The 22,833-nt window shown below is 42.6% G+C and overlaps 1 protein-coding gene across 11 annotated transcripts in view, besides 1 other annotated feature; it reads right to left on the bottom strand.

The window, feature by feature from the left end:
* ESR1 (estrogen receptor 1) overlaps positions 1 to 22,833 on the bottom strand; it is a 472,948-nt gene that overhangs the window by 433,890 nt on the left and 16,225 nt on the right. For 5 of the 11 annotated variants that reach the window (XM_011535543.3, NM_001122742.2, NM_001385570.1 and 2 more), the window contains exon 1: positions 5,066 to 5,203. The exons of 4 other annotated variants lie outside the window; for them this stretch is intronic. The gene's annotated coding sequence lies outside the window, so the exon portion shown is untranslated. Of the gene's footprint in view, positions 1 to 5,061; positions 5,204 to 22,833 lie in introns of those variants that run through there. 2 more of the 11 variants (XM_017010378.2, XM_047418295.1) reach the window with 1 other exon arrangement.
* Positions 19,665 to 19,714: an enhancer, noted in NCBI's record as "active region_25284". NCBI's record gives its function as "activates an Ori minimal core promoter by ATAC-STARR-seq in GM12878 lymphoblastoid cells {active_cell/tissue: GM12878}" and the evidence as "EXISTENCE:reporter gene assay evidence [ECO:0000049][PMID:35858748]".

Here is a 22,833-nt window from a genome sequence, read left to right as displayed (position 1 = left end):
CAAATTTCTTCTGTCAGATACACTCAAATTTTCTTGTTGATTTCTTGGTGTCCTTAGTAACGTTCCAAAAGGAATTATTCCAATGAGACCATTTCTATGAACAGCAGAGGAAAGAAGGATCTCAAAAATGCAGATCATCCGTTTGCAAAAGGACCTTGATGGCTTCCTCTGAACCAATCTAGGGGAGGAGGTATGTTTAGGGGAGCTGAGCTGCTGGTCATTTTGACAAGGAAACAGTTGGAAAAAGAAATGTCAAAAAGCCAGTGGCACTCTCCTATTCCAGCAAAAGTCAGGAACCTCAGCAAGTCTACTCACACTAAGCTCTCTAGGATTGTCAACTTGTTGGGGCCTGTCTCTGCCTCCTTGTGATTGGCCTGTGTGTTGTCTTCAAGGCAGCAAGAAAGGAGAACTGGAAGACTGCCCATGTTATATCCATTCTTAGTAGGAAAACCCAAAAAATTGAGAGTGGGTGGCAGCTTTAAATAGGAGACTAAATCCAAATGAAGTTATTAAAGTCTGTGCTTAGGGAAACCAAGCTCCAGGTATGCATTCAACAGGGATCTTGATGGTTTTTACAACAGAAAGGCTAGGGAAGCTCCTAGCTACTTGTCTTCTCAAAAGAAATCAGAGAGCATCCCACAATACTGGAGGGGTGCCGCCAGAAGAGGATTACCACCATCCCCTCAAAACCGCATCCATACTGCTGCTGTACTCACATTCCAGCTTTGCCACATGGCTGGGAGGCGGAGACTCCCCACCCACACTTCCACCCTGGCACACTTTCTGTTTTTGAGAAGCATAAACCAATCTGCCCCTCATATCTATCTCATAGCACTACAGCCAGGTGAACCCTCATTCACTTAGTGGGAAGATTTTACATGGAACTAAGTAATAATTTATGCATTGCATATAACAACTTACTTTTTTTTTTTTTGTCTTTTTTTAGATGCAGTTTCACTCTGTTGCCCAGGTGGGAGTTCAATGGCACAATCTCGGCTCACTGCAACCTCCACTTCGCGGGTTCAAGCGATTCTCCAGTCTCAGCCTCCCAAGTAGCTGAGATTACAGGCCCATGCCACCACTCCTGGCTAATTTTTGTATTTTTAGTGGAGACGGGTTTCACCGTGTTGGCCAGGCTGGTCACGAACTCTTGACCTCAGGTGATCCACCCACCTCAGCCCCCCAAAGTGCTGGGATTATAGGCGTGAACCACCAATCCCGGCCACAACTTGCATTTTATAAAAGTGAACTTTGTACAAAACTCTTTTACATGCATTACTTTATTTAATCCTCATGAAGAGCCACAAAACTTCTGTGACTCGGATGTAATTATTCCCATTTTACAGATGAAGTTGCTGAGGCTAAGAGAGGGTGTAATGTTATCTCCCATCAACCCCAGATGCTTAACCTGCTTTCCCAAGGCCAAATTCATATTGATTACAAACTTTAAAAGTTAATACTGTCTCAAGTAATGGCTAAAAGCATGAGCTTTGGAATTAGATGAGTTTATCTTCAAGTCCTAGGGCTGTCACTTTTGAAGCTGTGTAATATTGGGCATGTTACCTAGCTTTGCAAAGCCTTAGTTTCCTCATTTGTACAACAGGAATCATAACGTTGTTCACCACCTGGGGTTGCTGTGAGAATCACACGTAATAACACTATAAAAAGCATCGCACAAAGTAAGAGCTGCCCCAACCTTAGGTGCTACTATAGTTGTTATTATTACCACCTCGTGGACATATGTTATGGGGCCAGAGTGGGAGAGACTATCTCAGGTCTTTGGTATCACATTGAATTAGAACATCAGCATACAACCGGGTATGCTGGCTGACGTCTGTAATCCCAGCAGTTTGGGAGGCCAAGGCGAGTGGATCACTTAAGGTCAGGAGTTTGAGACCAGCCTGGCCAACATGGTAAAACCCCGTCTCTACTAAAAATATGAAAATTAGCTGGCCATGGTGGCACATGCCTGTAATCCCAGCTACTCTGGAGGCTGAGGCAGGAGAATTGCTTGAACCTGGGAGGCGGAGGTTGCAGTGAGCTGAGAAAGCACCACTGCACTCCAGCCTCGGTGAAAGAGCGAGACTCCATCTCAAAAAAAAATCAGCATAGAGCTCTATGTGTGTATGGACTAAGACATTGCCCAACAATGAAGCAACATGCTTCTGTTGATGTGAAAGGGAATGTGAAGCATTTGTAACACGTTTTTGACACGCTCATCTCAGCAAGATTTTTTTGTTACCCTTCTCATCACAAAGATAGTCACAAAGGAGAGGAATGATGGAAGAATGATGGAGGTTCCTGGACTTTCTCTTCCAACACTTTATACTCATTACAGAAGCAGCAGCATTTCAACAGATGGTACGCTCAGTTGATTGGATTGACTGCCCTTTGCTTTTTAGATCAAGTTTCCAGTTATGATCAGATGTTCATAAATTCCTAGCAGCTTTGGTGCTGACCTTGAATTATTTCACTGATTCAACCAACATGTATTGAGTACCAGGCACTGTGCTAGGCTTAGAATAGAAATAACTTCCTCATACTGAGTTTCTAATGCTTGGAAACTGCAAGGAGTTTAATGAGTGGCTTAATGTCATTTATTCCATATAATATATCTGGTAGCTACTGTTAGTACTCCCACTTTGCAGATGAGAAATTCAAGGCATGAGGTTAAATAATCTGCCTCTAAATTGCACAGCTAGAGAGTGGTGGGAGCTATGGCTGGTACTCAGTCATTTTCCATGGATCTGAATTAAACTACTTAATATCAGAATTCTTACTGAAGAGTGATCTGCTGTGGAAAACCTGAGCAGAGGTATCAGCTTTCCAGCGAATATTTTTAGGGGCAGATGGATAGGGTAAGCCCCTTCATTCTCCGAAAGAATCACAGACTTTCAGAGAGAAAAATGTTATACGCCTTAGATAGAACGATAAAACTCAATGATGTGTACGCTTTTGCTGTTGGGTCCAGTGGGAATGATTCAGAGGAAGTCTACTGAGATGTTGCCCAGAAGGCAGGCACACCATCATCACTCTTACCTGTACAGTGCACGCCTTTCAAAATAGCACTTCATTAGACAATATGCAGGAGGTTTCACAGATGGCGCCTCTTTCTCGGAGATTAACAATGGAGACCCTCTCCTGATAGAGGTGGATGGACAGGACCATATCTCCACTGCCATAGATGAAGACTATGCTATGACTTTTTTTTTTACAGTGTGGATGGTCTACCCAGAGCTGGGTCACTCTCTTCCTTGCCCTTTTTTCCGAATAGCCAATCTGCAGTCCTGGAGCACAGCTGTTCCCTATTCAAAGCAAAGTAAACTCAACCACCAGGCCGTCAGCCCAAGCGATTGTTCTGAGCAACTAGGATAAATGAATGCAGACAGACTCAGAGAAGACCTGCAGATAACCATGTGAAAATGTTTAGCAGATGCCTGATGTAAATACTTACACTGTGTGGAGGTTTAGAGTGAGTGTTTGAAGGGAAGGTAGATGGTAGCTAGCTCTAAACCCAATATTGAACAAAAAGACACAGAGTTATCAGAAACGAAAGATAGTTGGACTTTGTTCTTGCTGCAAGTTTAAGACACAAGAGCTTTATTCCTTTCCTTGACTGTCACAAGCAATAAAATGAAACACGTATCTCCAAATGTCCAAGAAAAATCTTCTACTCGTAAATACGACGCTTGTATTCTTAAGGAAAATTTTGCTTTTTTCCTACATGTCGTATCTTTTACCTACATTGTTTTTATTTGTAATTTCCTTGAAAATCTGACATTCTAGAGTATTTTATCCAACTGCTACAGCATTATCTGCATGCATTCCAAGGCCTAGTGGGCAGTCATCACAGGATATTAACAAAATCAAAGAAAATATTTGCTTTTGAGAAATAGGAAGGGATTTTATGGTATACAAATGGACCCTGAACCATCCATGGTTCTCAAACATTCTCATCCAATTTAAGTTCTCTGTACGTTTCAGAATTCAGTTCAAATACTTCTACCTGGTCTTCCTGTTTACTCTCAATATTAAAATATGTATATACCACATTCAAAACCAGATGAGTTTCCCAGCAACCTCATATACATGGAGTTGCTCTGTAAGCCTATTAGATCTGGCACATAAAGGCATTAAAAATCTGGCACCTTTAAGCAGGAACCATTGCCATGATCACAAGTCCTGATTAAGCCCAACCCTTCTATCGAGTAAATTGCTTTAAAATCTTTTAATCATGTTGGCTCCTACGGACTTGTTTGAGAGAATACTGGTTATCTTCTTGACAAAGTATGAAACTTACAGTTCAGCGAGCATTTCCTAAGACATGTGGCATTCCTCTAACCAAAATGAAAGTATTCTGCCCTGTCTTGTGACTGCCACATCATTACCCGAGTAGCCCACTGCTATATGTGGTGGAGTCATTATGTATGTGCCATTGTGAGGCAAAAAGGAACTGAGAAAATGGGACACCAGGACTCAAAAGAGCTTGCTTAAAATCAGAGGCCCATTTCAAGACAGAGGGGCTCGTTCTTTTGCTGCTAAATGTGTAGCTTTTCAGAAAACTTGACTGCCTTTAGGAAACAAATAATGGCTTATTCACATCGCTTAGTTCAAACTCACGTAAGTTATGGCTCCAAAGATTCAGAAAACAGGTAGTGTGTTCATGCTACTCTGAGATTTGTCCAATTAAGAGCTTATAAAATTCTAACACAGTTCAACAATACAGTGTCTCCTAGCTAGTGCTAGATCCAATACATTTATGTTATCTGGAACAGACAGGCAGCCTGTGTGTGCTGTACTAAGAAAAGGGTAGTCGGATTGCCCTCTGCCTCAGCTAAATATTATTCTAGAAGTGAATTTCCACTGTACCAAGTTTAGATTTCACATTTTATCATCCCAGGAATACTTGCCAGTAACTTTGCAAAATATCCTTGGAGCAGAAAGACAAAAAAATGAACATTTTTTAAAGATGAGAGGTAAGCTCTGAAGTTACAATATGCTTGTAAACAGTAGCACATTATATCAAAAAGGAAAAAATAAATTGAGAAGAAATAGGAGTACCTACTTGAAGAGAAGATTATCACTCAGAGACTGTCTTCTTATGCTATAGAATGGGCAGGAGAAAGGAGCATGGACCTTTCGAGCCTGTTAAAGAGCTTCTGAGCATGGAGCCTGCATTTTCAGTTTTGGTAAAATCCGTTCTGAGTCGGTAGACAGGAGGCTGTTATGACCATGAAATTAGGAAATGCAGTAACTCAAAAATAAAGAACTAGCACCACCATTTGACTAGGATTGGAAAATCTCATTGAAAAAATAGAGGAGGGGGTGGCCTTGCTTTTGCCAAGCCAGGCCCGAATCTAACTTTCTTAGCACTTCCATTAAGATGGATGTTCAAGAAGAGGTAAATCATGTGTTAATCTGCCTGAAATATTTTTTATGCCATCCAGCCGATTTTCTCTTTATTCGTAATAAAGCTTGAAGTCTAGACAGGCATGTGGAGTTGGAAAAAAAAATAAAACATCATTCAGCACATAAATTTTGTTAATCCAAAGTTAGCTACAGCTAAACTAAAAGCAGGGGCAAGGAAATATCTTCTGTGAGTGTTTTTTGGGACTTTCTTACTCAGGCATGGACTCAAAAGCCCGCTCTGCACTTCTTGTTACCGATTAATGAGGTTCTTGACTTCGGTAACCTGCAGAGGTCTAGCTTCTCACACTCTTCAGCCCTTCCTTCTGTCATATGATCCTTCCATAAACTGTCCGGTATTTCCTGCAGCAATTTTTAAGTTTATGAGGTTATTGATTGTTTGTTTAACACTAAGATAAACATTTTAAAGTAGCAAAGGGGCTGTAAAATCATATTAAAAATTTTTAATAATATTGACATTTTAATATCTCATCATGTCTGGTGTGGTTTATGCAGTAGGTACTTTAAATGAATTTTTAAAAATATTTTCTCTTTTTCTTCTCTACAAGCCTTGAAAAAAGGCTGGCTTTCTGGCAGTGAGAATGGTAGAATGGGGCGGAGGCAGGATCTCCCTCTTGCTACTGTATTTCTCTCTGTCCCAGTACCCAGTACAGAGGAACACCTGCCAAGTAAGAGGTGCATCTCAAAACTGGCATGGGAAAGAAAGAAAACCAAAATAAATAATCAACACTTTAAAACATTTTGAAATCAATGATCTTAACTGTCTTCAGTCTTCTCTATACTTATCAGTTAGCCCATAAAATAATTTAAATATGTAAATTTGTCTGAGAGTAACTTCTCCAGAATACATAGAGCAGGACACATTTTAGTTAATATGTAAAGTATTTAATTGCAATTGACTGAACATAAAATCTCAACAAGATTCACTTACACAAGGAATAATCATGTATACTAACGCATTGTGGGGGTTCTGTAAGCATTTTTATTGTGTTTATTATGATTTCTGGTGAAAGGTAGATTATTGAATAACATGCTCTGAACAGTTCAAGTGTTTTGAAAGCGAAATATTTTTTCTAAATTAATTAAATCTTTCAATTATTTTAGTTGCCAGAATGGGTGAAGTATGCTTTTCAAACAGCATTTAGCTACCTGTTAAAACCAGTTTTACACATCAATACAGAGATGAAAATTACATAGAGCAACAGTTCTCAAAATAGGACAGCTAATGAATTCTGAACTGAAGGTTATAGATTATTTCCTTTTCATTAGAAAATATAAATGTACAATGTATATTGTATGTAAATTATAAATTAACTTAATTATCCTTTAAAAAACTATTATTGATATTCGTTTGCATTCCAATATGTGCTTTCTTGAGTGCAAGAGAATAAAAATGACAACAAATGTCTTCTGAGCATATATAGTCATCCCTTAGTATTAGGGTTGGGATATTGGTTCCAGGACAAGTCCCTGATATAAAATCACATAGTATTTACATATATCCTATGCACATCCTCCTGTATACTTTAAATAATCCATAGATTACTTATAATACCTAAAACAATGTAAATGTGAAGTAAATATGTGTTATACTATATTGTTTAGAGAATGAAAAGAGCAAAGTCATGTTCAGTACTGGCACAATTTTTTTCCTGGATATTTTTTTCTTTTTTTTTTCCCCTAGTATGCAGCTATTTTCCTAGATATTTTTTATCCAACCAGAGGTTGATTGAATCCTCAGATGTGGAACCCACAGATATGGAGGGCTGGCTGTACTAGATGTCAGATACTAGTTTAAGTATCTTTGTAGCAACCCAGTGAGGTAAGTACTACTAAAAACCCATTTTGCAGTTGAGGAAACCGTGGGATACTGAGATTAAGTACCCATACCAGCTGCGGCCAGGGTTCAAACTCACATGGACCAACTCAAGCCTCCATGCTTTTAAAGCTCCATTTCAGAATCTGAACCAGCACAAGGAATTACACACAAGGACACACTATGGGAACACACGTGCTTTGTATGTGTCATGAGAGGAAACTGTTGACAGGTTTATCAGTGAATGGGTAAAAACAGTTCCATCAAATCAATCCAGAAAGGTTGTTATGAATCATTTTGAAGTTTATTGTTCTAATGAAATCACTAAAAATAAAAATGTGTGCTTGGACCAATACATTTTTTAAACTATTCTGTGCTTTATTATAGGGAAAATATATATATATCCTTCAAGGAAAAGTGTCTAATTAAATTGCATTCATCACTATTAGACAATTAGGTTGAACAATTAAAAAAGAAGAAAACAACAATTTAAATGAAGCAGTATAATACAGTGTAATTGAAACACAGGACAAATTTAATCTCGTAAGTATAATTTAAAGAGATGTATCATGCCATTACACCTGATTCCCTCACACACATTTTTCAAATGAAAAATAAAGCCTGACATTTCATCAAAATCGTGCTATCCACTACATCTTTATTTTTTTAAAAAAAGAGGGTCAACACACATTCCTTGGTAGTGTCACATTGTTTATTAAGAAGCACAGAACAATGAAATTCTAGAAATTTTTCAGGTTCCAACCTTTTTGTGATACATTCTCCCATTCCAGAAGAAACCACTAACAGCCTGGCTTCCACAAGCACAGTAAAGCAGAAAATGGATGCAATCTGTCTGGGTTGTTCAAGCAAAATCCTGCTGTGATCTGGGTGATTCAGGCTAAAATAAAAAATCAGGTTTTTTATTTGGACTGTGTGTTTTTATCTGCCACCCCAGATGATAGCAGAGTCTGGGACTCAGTTACATAGTTAATTGCCAAAATTCTTTATTCGTTCTTCTCAGCAAAGATGTTCCCACTGGGCACTGCTCAAAACACTATCTCAGTTCTATCACTCTAGCAAAACAGCTCTGGGCTTCTGGCTTTCCTCGTGAAGAGCAACCAAAATTGAAACTCTGCTTACCTGGAGATATCAATCAGTACCTGACCACTCACTCACTATCGTTCTAAGGAAAATTGCCATGCTCTCAGCTCCTGTTACTTGAACAACCAACTCAAGTTCATACAACCTCCCCACCCTACGCCCACTTCAGATCACAGCTAACTGGACCATGGTGAGACACCCAACCAAAGATCAGCCAAACTATAGACTGGCCAGTGACCTAGGACATGACCAAATGTGAAAAAGATGAACTGGACCAATCATTCAAGCTCTGAGGGTATGAATTTGGAAACCTGCACTGAGGTCATGAGCCGCAAAGGACAAGGGCATGTCTCAGGGTGGCATGGAGGCCAAAGTAAGGAAAGCCTCCTAGCAAGTGAAGTTATGCAGGAACAGAGAAAGCCCATGAGCTGAGATAACACATAGGGGGCTCTGGACCCATGAGCACATTGCAGGGTCTGGCTATAGCCGCATGGTTGGCTATAGTCACTGACAGGGTTGTAGAATTTCCATAATTTCTTCTATAGCCCTTATTACCAGGTATCCAAGGGCACCTCTGGTGGTCTTTCCCATCAGAATAGTGTAACCTAAGAGTGTTTAGCTACCTTAAACATGCATCCAGGGCCTAGGTGCTGGTTGGTTGGTTGGTTGGTTGGTTGGTTGGTTGGTTGGTTGGTTTTGAGATGGAGTCTTGCTCTGTCACCCAGGCTGGAGTGCAGTGGCGCCATCTCGGCTCACTGCAAGCTCCGCCTCTCGGGTTCACGCCATTCTCCTGCCTCAGCCTTCTGAGTAGCTGGGACTACAGGTGCCCGCCGCCACGCCCGGCTAATTTCTTTTTGTATTTTTAGTAGAGACGGGGTTTCACCATGTTAGCCGGGATGGTCTCGATCTGCTGACCTCGTGATCCGGCCGCCTCGGCCTCCCAAAATGCTGGGATTACAGGCGTGAGCCACTGCGTCCAGCCCCAGGTGCTGGTTTTTATAGCAGAGGCATAAAATCCATCAGTAGTCCACTTTTCAGTGTCCAGATCTAGAGTGTTCGACAACGGAGCCATAATATGACCCATCCTCAATGACACTGTATACTGTCTTTTACTCAGTATGAAAGCCCTAGTTCAAGCTTATAGGGATAAAAATAGTCTCTTTCTTCAAATTTTTTTAAAACTATCTTTCTTCAAATGACAATGTCAAGCAGAAAATACTTTTGGAAGAAATCAAGAAATTTGAGCCTAGAAGTTCAAGACTAGCCTGAGCAATGTAGAAAGACCCCGTCTCTAAATAAAAAAAAAAAAAAAAAAAAAAAATTGTTTTAATTAGCTGGATGTGATGGCATATGTCTGTGGTCCCAGCTACCTGGAGGCTGTGGTGGGAGAACTGTTTGAGGTTGCAGTGAGCCACGTTCGTGCCGCTGCACTTTTGCCTGAGTGACAGAGTAAGACCCATCTCCAAAAGAAAAAATGCAATTGAACTTTACATTTCATCTGTAGAAAGGCTTTTAAAATCTGCTTTCATAAATTATGTGCCTCCTCTTTATATACACACATATATATAAAGCCATAAACATCTTATGTGAGGAAATAATTATGAAAAATTTTCTATTAGAAGAATAAATGGGCTATCATATTTACAGGAGTGACAAAGGAAGCAACATTGAAGAAGACAATGATTTAAAGCAAAAACATTATTGATACTGCTGAACCAAAATAGCTTTCTGACCCTTCTTACTCCCCATCTGCCCCTCAGTCTTCTCCCCACTCTTCCAGACATCTCGATCACCAGATACACAAATGCACACACTTCTCAGCAGGAAGCAAGGTCTCAAGTAGGATCCAGAGAAGGCTGGCCCTTCGGGTAGTTTACGTTTGTCAACTACTAAGGTGTACTTCTGAGCAGAAAGGAGAAATTCACATATTTCCTCTAAGGACAAGAGGCCAGTGGCCGGGCGCGGTGGCTCACGCCTGTAATCCCAGCACTTTGGGAGGCCGAGGCGGGTGGATCATGAGGTCAGGAGATCGAGACCATCCTGGCTAACAAGGTGAAACCCCGTCTCTACTAAAAATACAAAAAATTAGCCGGGCGCGGTGGCGGGCGCCTGTAGTCCCAGCTACTCGGGAGGCTGAGGCAGGAGAATGGCGTGAACCCGGGAAGCGGAGCTTGCAGTGAGCCGAGATTGCGCCACTGCAGTCCGCAGTCCGGCCTGGGCGACAGAGCGAGACTCCGTCTCAAAAAAAAAAAAAAAAAAAAAAAAAAAAAAAAAAAAAGAGGCCAGTGTCAGACAAAAATGATATTTAAATACAGCAGAGACTCTGTTGCTAAGTTTAACTTCCCAGCTTGCACAAACTCCGGAATTTTAGTGAAAGGAGCAGTGGCTTTACAGAAGAAAAATCTCTGTAAACCCCTCAGAACAAACAAAGTGAAGCCTTAATTCCTGTACCAGGTACCGATTAGCAGTGGAAAGCGCCTGCCTTGAGGCTTCCCGTTTGCAATGAAACCTAGTGGAAGAGGGTCCTGCCTATGGGTGCCTTTGATTGGCACCAGCAGCCGCAGCCTTGGCCCCCCAGCACTGGGGGCTTCTGTGAGCCCAGCAGTGATATTCAGCACCTGCCTGTTCACCTGGCCCCGCAGGAAGGAAGAACCAGAAAGAATTGCAGGTTGCAAACAGTTGATAGAAAGCAGAGATAAAATATTATTGTGTTATTGTTGTTTTCATCCTATTTTTATTCCTGGGCTGAGATATTCTGGGGAAGTTTGGATTATAAGAACTGCAGGCTGTATCTCCAAAATACCTCCAGCCTCCATCCCTTGTTTGTCCTACTCCCTGTCACAAGTCAGATCCTCTTCAGCTCTCAGCTGGACTTTTGCAATGGTGTCCTAATTGGTCTGGTTGCCGACAGCCTCTACCATTTCGAATCCGTCCAACATACCTTCACCAGATTATGTTCCCGATTAATCATCCTCACCGTGTTACTGCAAGATTAAATTAAGCACAAACCACTTACCATATCCCTGATCACCCGTCTCCAGCCAACCTCTCCAGCCTTCAACTTCAGTCAACCTCTCTTTCCCTGCTCCCACCATCCTATGCTTGGATTTCAGCCCCTTCTCTATCTAGGTCAGGTGTGATCCCACCACTTCCTCAGTGTTCATCTCAAAGCACACCTTCTCCATGGAGACCTTCCTGATGGCCCAACATCATCCTATTCTACCCTTCTCTGAATCTCTCCACATGCCACTTGTACCCTTCTCCTCTAGCAACAAGCACTACTGAAGCATCTCCTCTGTGCCAGCAAGGAAGAACAGATATGATCCTGAGGAGCTTGTGTCTAGGAAGGGAGACAAATGAATTGTATGACACGTAGCCAGGTGTGGTGGCTCACGCCTGTAATCCCAGCACTTTTTGAGGCAGGGGTGGGCTGATGAGTTGAGCTCAGGAGTTCGAAACCAGCCTGGCCACATGGTGAAATCCCATCTCTACTAAAACTACAAAAAAAAAAAAAAAAAAAATAGCCAGACGTGGTGGCACATGCTTGTAATCCCAGCTACTTAGGAGGCTGAGGTGAGAGAATTGCTTGAACCTGGGAGGTGGAGGTTTCAGTGACCTGAGATAGCACCTCTGCACTCTAGCCTGGGCGACAGAGTGAGACTCTATCTCAAAAAAAAAAAGAAAAAAAAATGTATGACAACCTGATAACTAATCAGAATTCACACATTTACAGAACACTTGATAACACTCTTAGATAAGTGGCCAATTCAATCTAGTCCTGAGTTACTTCTGTATCTCCCATGCCTCCTACCACCAATGGATTGCAGTTGATTGCAGGCTACCTGGGAATATGGCTTACTCCACCTACATCCAAGGTGGTAGTTCACACAGGGCCTGGTGAATATATGTGCTTTTTTTTTTTTTTTTGATCAAATGAATCTCCATTTAAATTGAGGGGGCAGGAAGTCCTGTTCCTCTCCAATCCACATCCCTCTATCATCCCCAATATCCAAAGAGACCTGCATTCACCTTGCTCTCCAAGCAACAGAAACAGCAGACTCTGACCATTTACAGGGCTACTGAGCAGCCTCAGTCCCCAAGTACACCCACCTGGGCTTGTAAACCTCCCTCTACAATACCAAAATCTGTACTGGAAAGGACATGTCCCCAAGTCCCAATACCGTCAAAGTATTTGAAATAGGAACAAGAAGTAAAAGATAAAACATAGAAAACAAAGAACAAAACTAGATAATGACATCGGAGACAGTACATATTTAAGCAGCCCAGTATTGACATAAGGAAGATAAGAGGATAAGACCAAAGAGCAGGCATTTGGATCACTAGGTCACCATAAGTACAAAATATGCTTCACCCGGATAGTAATATGAGTCTAATTTTCTGTCATCATTTAGAAAATGAATGCATTTAACATCATTTTCCTCACAACTAAATTTTGGCTCAGTACTGTATGTTCATATTTCTATTTCATAAAATTTTTGTAGGCTCTCCTGGTTTTCTTACCCCATTCTGCATCACAAACATCCACATGGGGGGTCCCCAGGGGATTTGGAATCCCCTGAAATCATATCCAAACATTTAGGTACATAAGAATATGTGCATTTTTCTGAAGGAAGAGTCTGAAAACTTCATCAAATTCTTAAGGAAACCTAAACAAGATTCAGAATCAAAGGAATGGGTTTACCACTGCAAATGGAATGTCTAATAACTCTTCCACGTATACTATTCTGATATTTTTCACAATTTGTAAATATTGCCTATTAGTTTTCCTTTTCAAATTAGCCCCCTTTTACCAAATTCATGAAAGTTTACAAGCTGCACCTTTCTTCTAAAATAAATTGGGATAGTCATTTCTCATTTTTGAAATTTTACTTGTAAAACTCCAAAGAGATCTTGATTTTCAAAACTTTAGGTCTACTCAGCAATTATCAAGTTGTGCTGTGAACCAGCTCCCGGCAGCTCAGAATAAGAAACACATGAAACTCCCTCCAGGGAGATCCAATTCTGTCCTTCCCTTTATACCAAAAAAAACTTCCTACAGGAGGAAACGAAAGATGGGAAAGCCAACCTGAGCACCTGGAATAGCATCAGCCTCTACCGTGCAATTCAATGGTGCCATTTATTTTTCTCATATAGGAAAGCAAAGGAAATAGAGTGAAAACAAAGGTGCACACAGATTAAACAACAGGCTATGAAAACAGTGACTTGGGCATGGGAAAATAATCAAACACTCCATGTGAAAATCAAAAAACCTGTGCTAGGAAATAAAAGGTTGAATACTAAAGCATCCGATAAACAGTTTTCCTACGGGGACTCAGACAGCTGATAGGCCTGTGAGTGTTTGTAACTCCAGATGTTTTAACTTTTCAGTTTCTCCGCGCCCTGTGTGGTGATTCTGCACTTAGGAGATTTATTTAAACTGCAGCCACCGGAGACTGCCAGCTGCAAGCGACCCCAGCACCTCGTGGTGAGCAGGTCTTCCGGAATCACTACAACTGTCGCAGGTGGGGCCTTGTTTGCTACTTGTTGAGACGTTTAAAAGACATTTTGGCAGAAAGCACCGCCTCCCCCACCCCAAGCTGGACCCCGCGTCCAGCTGTGGGCCACCACTAAACCCACAAAGCGACCGGATCCCTTGGAAGCGGCGGCCTGGAGGAAGCAGCCTGTCCCGAAGAATCTGTGCATTATTTATTCAGGCAAAGAGGATATTCATTTCAACCAGGACGGGAAATGTTCGATTATGTAACATTGGGGACGAAGAGAATGAGGCTTTTTTTTATTTTTTCTTTTTCCTGGAGAAAAGTGTTGCGAAATAGTCCAAGAACAGCTTCCAGTTTCCACAGTCCCTGTGCTTCCAGAGGCTTCTAAATGACAAGATCAAGGCGCCTGAGAAGCTAGAGAATTGACGAGCACGGGACCCTCAACAGCTCCCCCTGAGCCTCCCCCACCCCTCAGCACCGCCGTCCCCTCCTGCCATCAGGAGCGTGGAAAGCTCTTGCTGTCGCTTTCATCAGTCATCTCAGAGTCTCCTCGGTCCAATCGTCCTGAGGCATTTTCCCCACCTGTTCACACTCCAGCGCAACCCCAGAAACAATCGTTATTTCTATGGTCTACTGCACAGAGCCAGCCAGAAATATAATTAAGAATCATTCACAGGGATGTGCAAACAAGACTGGGCTTGACCAACACATCAAAATTTCAGAAGACGAGCTGGGGACCAGAGAGGTAGGTTCACAGAAGAATAAGTGAAGGTCCAAACCAAGGCCCCAACTGGTTGACTGAGCAGGAACAAGGACGTGCCCGGCAGCCATCCCAGGCAGCTGGCAGGGCTCTGAGTGGGCAGAACAGGTAAGGAGGCCAAGCAGCAGGCCAGGAGAGCCTCAAGTCCTCCCAGAGACGGGGCGTCTACCCCTGGGAGACAAGGACACCAAGCCAGGACTTCATCCCAGTGGAGCAAGGCAAACCCAGCGACTCGAACAGGATTTCAGGGGTTAAGGAGGAGACCGGTTCATTTTTTTTCATCCAATAATTATCTCCTGAGCACCTACCATGTGCCAGGCATTGTTGTAGGTGTTAGGAACATAGCTGTAAACAAAAGAGACAAAGATCCCTGACCTCCTGAAGCTTATATTCTAGTGGAACAAGGGAGGAGGCCAACTATTACGGACTGAAAGATTTGTGTCCCCCCAAAATCCATATGCTGAAATCCAAACCCCCAATATGATGGCGACAGGAAGTGGGGCCTTTGGAAGGTGATTAGGTTGTGAGGTCAGGGCCTTGTGATGGGATTAGTGCTCTCATAAAAGAAACAAAAGAGCTCTTTGATCTCTTTCTGCTACATGAGGACACAGGGAGAAGGTGGCCATCTGGCCGGGCATGGTGGCTCACGACCCCCCAGCATTTTGGGAGGTCGAGGTAGGTGGATCACTTGAGGTCAGGAGTTCAAGACCAGCCTGGCCAACATGGCAAAACCCCGTCTCTACTAAAAATATAAAAATTAGCTGGGCGTGGTGGTGTGCACCTGTAGTCCCAGCTACTCGGGAGGCTGAGGCAGGAGACTCACTTGAACCTGGAAGGTGGAGATTGCAATGAGTCGAGATGGCACCACTGCATTCCAGCCTGGGTGACAGAGCGAGACTCCAACTCAAAAAAAAAAAAAAAAAGAGAAAAGAAAAAAAGCAAGGTGGCTGTCTGCACCTGGAAGAGGCCCTCACCAGAACCAGACCATGCTGGCACCCTGATCTCAGATTTCCACCCTCCAGAACTGTGGGAAATAAATGTCTGATTTTAAGCCACCCAGTTTATGGTATCTGTTGAAGCAGCCGAGCTAACCAATAAATAAAATATATATAGAAAGAAAGTCAGATGGTGACAGTGCTAAGGCGATGATTAAGCAGGGATTAGAGATGGGGAGTACAAGGGTAGGGACTGGACTTATAAGCCAGGTGATCAGACAGGGTGACTGAGAAGCTGATATTGAGCAGCTACCTGAAGACTCAGAGGAAACAAGTAGCTAACTGCTGGAAGAGCATTCTGGACATAAACAGCTCAGAACAGTAGCAAGAGCAAAGACCGGAGTGTCCCAGGCACAGCTGCAGTCACAAAAAGGACACTAGTGCAGTCAAATTGGCACCAGCAAAGGGCAGAGTTAGGAGAGGAGGTGGTAGAGGTAACAGGAATGCTAAGGTGTGTGGGGCCTCATGGGCCAGCCAAAAGGGGTTGGCTTTTACTTTCAAAGCTAAGGAGAGCTCTTGGGAGGCTGAGGCAGGCAGATCGCCTGAGGTCGGGAATTTGAGAGTAGCCTGGCCTGGCCGACATGGTGAAACCCTGTCTCTACTAAAAATACAAAAATTAGCTGGGTGTGGTGGAAGGCGCCTGTAGTCCCAGCTACTTGGGAGGCTGAGGCAGGAGATTTGCTCGAACCTGGGAGACGGAGGTTGCGGTGAGCCGAGATTGCGCCACCACACACCAGCCTGGGTGACGGAGCAAGAATTCATCTCAAAAATAAATAAATAAAGCTAACGGGAGTTCAATAAGGGCCTTTTAGGCCATGTTAAGAGAAGAAAACAGGCCACATGTGGGACACGTGGCATCCTTGAGTCACACGGGGGAGGAGTTGGCTCTGAGGCATTGCCTTGGAGATATGAAACAGATGTGTCACCCACATTCAAGAAACAATTTTTCCACAACTGGGTCAGGACCTTTGGTAAGAAAAAGACCACTGCAATTTTAATAAAGGCAATTCATACTTCTGTTTAATGCCACTTCATGTTCCTGGAGTTCAACTAAAGAAAAATACTTTTTTTGAATGTCAAGAAGGGTCAGATAGCATGGGACCAGGCCAGAAGAGGAGGCCTACTGAGAGTTTATAAAACCCAGTGGTGGCTGGGTGTGGTGGCTCATGCCTGTAATTCCAGCACTTTGGGAGGCCGAGGCGGGTGGATCACAAGGTCAGGAGATCAAGACCATCCTGGTCAACAGTGTGAAACCCTGTCTCTACTAAAAATGCAAAAATTAGCCAGGAGTGGTGGCATGCACCTGTGGTCCCAGCTGCTCTGGAGGCTGAGGCAGGGGAATCGCTTGAACCCAGGAGGTGGAGGTTGCAGTGAGCTGAGATTGCGCCACTGTACTCCAGCCCAGGCAACGGAGTAAGACTCCATCTCAGAAAAAAAAAAAAAAACCAGTGGTTTGTATTGAGCCCAGACAGGTGTCTGATCCTAGGCTAGGACTCCTTCCCCGGAAACACTTCCAGAAGCATTTTTCTGTTGGTTATCAGTGGTTCCCAACTTGGCTTTGCAGCTACGGAGACTTTACAAATATCCATGCCGAACCCACACCCACAGATGTTCCGATTTTTGGGGAGAGACTCAGGCATCAACTTTTTTTTTTTTTTTTAATATGGAGTCTCGCTTTGTTGCCCAGGCTGGAGTGCAGTGGCACAATCTCGGTTGAGTGCAACCTCTGCCTCCCGGGTTCAAGAGATTTGCCTGCCTCAGCCTCCCAAGTAGCTGGGATTATAGGCGTGTACCACCACACCTGGCTAATTTTTGTATTTTTAGTAGAGACAGGGTTTCACCATGTTGGCCCGGCTGGTCTCGTACTCCTGACCTCAAGTGATCCACCTGCCTCAGCTTCCCAAAGTGCTGGGATTATAGGCATGAGCCACTGTGCCCAGTCGGCATCAATGTATTTTTTTTAATTCTCCAGGTGATTCTCATGTGCAAGGAGAATTGAAAAGCACTAGGTTGGATTCATCTTTTTTACCACTTCTATCCATCTGTTCCACGCAACACCATACATGTGCCTCACACACCTATAATCAAACCAAACCATGACAGCCAATTGCTCAGGCCACCATGTGTATACACTTGCTTCCTGCTTCTTTCATTACGTTTTATTAATTTTTTTACAAATGTAACATGTTTAACAGTACCACCTAAGAGAATGTGTGAGTTTTCATGAGTAAAGAAGTATAACCCCTGAGAAGCAGTTTCAGCATTTGAGAAAATAAATCTGAAACAATACAATCTTCCAAATTTATACCAAACCCTCCTCCCTTTGCAAACTCTGCTTCCCAGGGCGACTCTATTATTGACAATGTGGGCAAAGGGGTAAACAGGAAAAAAAGCCGTGTTCATTTCAAGCCACTAAGAAGCACAGGCCAAAGGAAAAATAAAATCAATCAACCTTTGCCAAGTGGCAAAGAACAAACCAGTGGGGACTGGAGTCCTATAGTCAGCTTTTTAAAGAGTATTATGAACAATAGGGAACAAATGCTGCGTAATCACTCAAAAGATTTACAAACAATGCGACAGAACAATGCAAACTGAGTGAATACTACTGGGTGGATGTTTACTCCGCCAAGAAAAACCGGACACCCTAAGCCTCACTAATAAAAGGCTCTGTGTGTACATTCATTCACAGTGACCCTCTCACCCAGAGAACCATGGGCCTGTCAGTAACATTCTCTCTTCTTGCCTTAAAAATCATTTGGAGATATTGTCATCAAGCACATTAATTCCCATTTTACAGAAAGGGAAATAAAGGCAGGAAGAGGTAAATTAATGTGATCAACAAAGTGGCGGTCAAGCTGCCCCAGGCATAGCTAAGAGTAGAAACCTATCGTTACTGGTGTCATCTCTAACCACAAATTTTCTATCCACTTTCTCAAGAAAATCAGAGTCTTAGTTTGATGTTCTAAAGCCTAACTCAAATTTTTCTTCTTGCTCAGCTTGGTACCTGTAGTTGCAGCTACTGGAGAGGCTGAGGCAGGAGGATCCCTTCAGTTCAGGAGTTTGAGATCAGCCTGGATGACAGAGTGAGACCCTCATCTTTATGGATATATATGTATAAAGAACAAATTTTTCTTCTTTTCCAAAACCTCTTTTGGGTATTCTCCCTTTGTCTTTCTTTCTCCATACTCTGTCTCCATCTCCAAACTGCGTTACACAGTTTGAACATGTTATAGTTAGCTCTCAGGGACCATCCAAACACAGCTTTTTCTTCTGCTAGGATTTTGGTGAATATATGTGTCTTGAGATAAGCAGCCATCTGCTAGGACTTGTTGATGTTCTTTATCAGATAGCAGTTTCTCTGGTGAGGCAGCTTCCGCGAGTGGGAAGGGGTAGATGGAGACAGGGTGCAGATAAGGGATCTCCAGGATGCCTTCCCATGAGGGGTGCTAAATGCAGCGAGTGAGGGTGCCAAGTCTGGGGAAGGAAGGCTGCCCATGTGTTGGGTCTGCTAATTAGCACCATTTGAAAATAATTATGACAAGACCACACAGGGAGAGCATGATATTTCAAGCGTAGCCGACCATTAAGTAAACAGGAGCACTGAACTATATTTCCTTGGTGATTGTGAAAAATCTCCGAAAAGATGGACAGAGGCTGCTGAGGACCTTAGTCCTTTGCAGGAACCAGAAGGAAAAGCCCAGGCAATGCTTCACTACCACACTCTGATTGCTACCAAATTGTTGAGTGTTCTCCATTCATTTCAGTATTTGTTCATAAAACAGGAACTTTCATTATTAATAGCTCAGGAGAGAGAGATGGCTGGTGTCTCTCACATCCCTGTCCCTTCATAGCCCTTGGAAGACCAAACAGAACCAAGTATGGACCTGGCTCACCGAGTTGGGAAGGTACTGGAAGGGGCACTAGTGAAGCAGGCTGGCCTCCTTCGGGCACCTCCTGTCTGCCCACCCAACCTCTCCTCCCTGTGACCCCTGCACCTTTGCTCTTTGACTTACACCAGTTCTTTGTCCTACTTCCATTCTGGCTTGCTCTGCAGTCTCATCTTTATGGTGTTTCTAACTCTCTTGCTTTCCTCCCTTCTCAGATGCAGTCCAAACCTTGACTCTACCTCGTAACTCATTACCACCTCCACCTGTGCCTTGGAATCTGCAGGCAGGTGCTGGCCTTCCCTTCTGGAGACCACAGCCAGCTCTCTGCTGCCCCCACCTGGTCCATAGCAGAACCTGCAGACGGTAACCTGGCAAATTGGTCCTTAAATCTATGGCGGCTTCACCAGTTTCCGGCATCAATTCGAATTTTGCTAATTTTGTTTCACCATAGCCTGGCTTGACTTACGGGTCTCAAACAATGCTTAATGTTTAATGGCCAAATTATGCTAACAAGCAAATGATCAAACTTAGGGGAAGCACTTTATTTTTTAAGGTAAGTGCAAAACAGTGGTAGCATTGTGATCATTCTGAAAAATCTAGCCTAAAATGATGGCTTTTTTGTTTCTAATCACTAGAACACACTATGTAAGTGTAGAGTTATTCCAAAATGTGACCATTTTTGTAACACTGATTTTTTTTTCATTCCAGTTCAAATTTCCTATAATAGTAGTAACAGACGGTGGGGAGGAGGGGAAGAAGGAGGAAGAGGAGGAAAAGGAGATGACTCAGCTATAGTTCCCCTAACCCTCTTGGTTTATGAAGCAGCTCAGAAACTTATTAGAACAAATTCCAGCATCCGAGACCACTGAGCTAACCATCCAACCACCCACACCCAAAGAAATAGCAAGAACATAAGTTTGGACCTGACCTGCTCAGCTCTCCACCACAAGCCTCTGGCTAGACTCAGGTACACAGTAGACCCTCAGTGAGTACTTAGTGAATAAATCAATGAATACGCACGTAATTAGTAATGTTTTCTAAACCATACATTCACTCAGTGCACTAGAAACACTTGTTATTTTATATAGTCTGGCAATATAACAGCACTTGCTTCTAATATTGTACTCAATAGTACAAGTGCCATTCTCTCTCACCCTTAGTTATTTCTATTAATAACTTCAACTCCATATTATATATTTTTAAATGGCCTAGGAGTGAGAAAAACATTTATTTTCATAAACCATCAAGGAATTCCACTGCTATGATTGAAAAATAAAAGGTCTGAAAATACATGTCTACATTTTTTCACCTTTTGAAAACATAGCATTTCTCAACAGAAATCCAATGCAGTTTTACAAATATTCTCTTGTCCATGAACTTTCACTGACATCCAGAAGGTATAACAGTGGGGCAGGTGAGTTTGGTGGTCTTAGGCAGAATGGAACTGCAACTTAGGTTCAGTGGAAAATGATGCAATTTCCTTGCAAATCAAAACCACAATGAAATACCGTCTCACGCCAGTTAGAATGGCGATCATTAAAAAGTCAGGAAACAACAGATGCTGGAGATGATATGGAGAAATAGGAACACTTTTATACTGTTGGTGGGAGTGTAAATTAGTTCAACAATTGTGGAAGACTCTGTGGCAATTCCTCAAGGATCTAGAACCAGAAACACCATTTGACCCAGCAATCCCATTACTGGGTATATACTAAAAGGATTATAAATTATTCTATAAAGATACATGCACACGCATGTTTATTGCAGCACTATTTACAACAGCAAAGACTTGGAACCAACCCAAATGCCCATCAATGATAGACTGGATAAAGGAAATGTGGCACATATACACCATGGAATACTATGCAACCATAAAAAAGAATGAGTTCCTGTCCTTTGCAGGGACATGAATGAAGCTGGAAACCGTCATTCTCAGCAAACTAACACAGGAACAGAAAACCAACCACTGCATGTTCTCACTCATAAATGGGAGTTGAACAATGAGAACACATGGACACAGGGAGGGGAACATCCCACACCAGGGCCTGTTGGGTGGTGGGGGACAAGGGGAGGGAGAGCATTAGGACAAATACCTAATGCATGCAAGGCTTAAAACCTAGATGACAGGTTGTTGGGTGCGGCAAACAACCATGGCACATGTATACCTATGTAACAAACCTGCACATTCCCCACATGTATCCCAGAACTTAAAGTAAAATTTTAAAAAAAAGAAAATGATGCAATTTCTTTTATAATGGAGAAAAATCACTTGGTTGTAAAGTCCAAATTAAGCACAATGTGGATAGATAGATGTGTAAACACACACAAAATGGCAAAAAGTGATATGGAGTGTCCTTTTTTTCAGTGACAAGCTGAAAGTTTGTACTCCAACCTGGAGTACAATGCCATAATCATGGCTCACTGCAACCTCAATTTCCTGGGCTCAAGTGATCCTCCCACCTCATCCTCCTGAGTAGCTGGCAATACATTTGCACGCTACCACATCCAGCAGTTTTTTAATTTGTTGTTGAGATAGGGTCTCACTATGTTGCCCAAGCTGATCTCAAATTTCTGGCCTTAAGTGATTCTCCCACCTCGGCCTCCCAAAGTGCTGGGATTACAGGCATGAGCCACCATGCCTGGCTTAATTTGGAATTTTTTATAGATTATATTGATAAACTCAAGATTGAGATCTACAGTCTTAGAAAGATAAAACCCAAAGACCCAGGACTACATGATGACAGCAAAATTGTCCACGCTACTTTGAAAAAGAGTCACGTTAATACCAAGGCATTTTGATTAGTTGTGGAAAACCTGACCAAACAAGATAGAGAGATTATGTAATATGAATGGTACACTCTTACAAAGGAGATACAATAATTAATAAAGTGAAGCGTCCAAACGTGAAAACAGCCAAATATATAAGGCAAAAACTATTTAGAAGTCCAAGAACTTGATTAAAATTTAATTATAGTGGGAGACATCAATATATTTCTTTTAGAAGTGAATCAATATTATATTCATTTATCTACATTTGCTGATCATACAGTGATCCTTATGTCTTTCAATTAGAGAATTTTTTTCATCTATCCATCAACCATTTACAAAATTTGATCATGAAGCCGGGCGCCGTGGCTCATGCCTGTAATCCCAGCACTTTTGGAGGCTGAGGCGGGCGGATCACGAGGTCAGAAGATTGAGACCATTCTGGCTAATACGGTGAAACTCTGTACTAAAAATACAAAAAAAAATAGCTGGGCGTGGTGGCGGGGGCCTGTAGTCCCAGCTACTCGGGAGGCTGAGGCAGGAGAATGGCGTGAACCCGGGAGGCAGAGCTTGCAGTGAGCCG

This window comes from Homo sapiens, chromosome 6, assembly GCF_000001405.40.
Source record: "Homo sapiens chromosome 6, GRCh38.p14 Primary Assembly".
Classification (NCBI taxonomy): Eukaryota; Metazoa; Chordata; class Mammalia; order Primates; family Hominidae; genus Homo; species Homo sapiens.
Note: the sequence above shows the minus strand (reverse complement) of the source record. Positions and strands in the feature narration are given on the sequence as shown.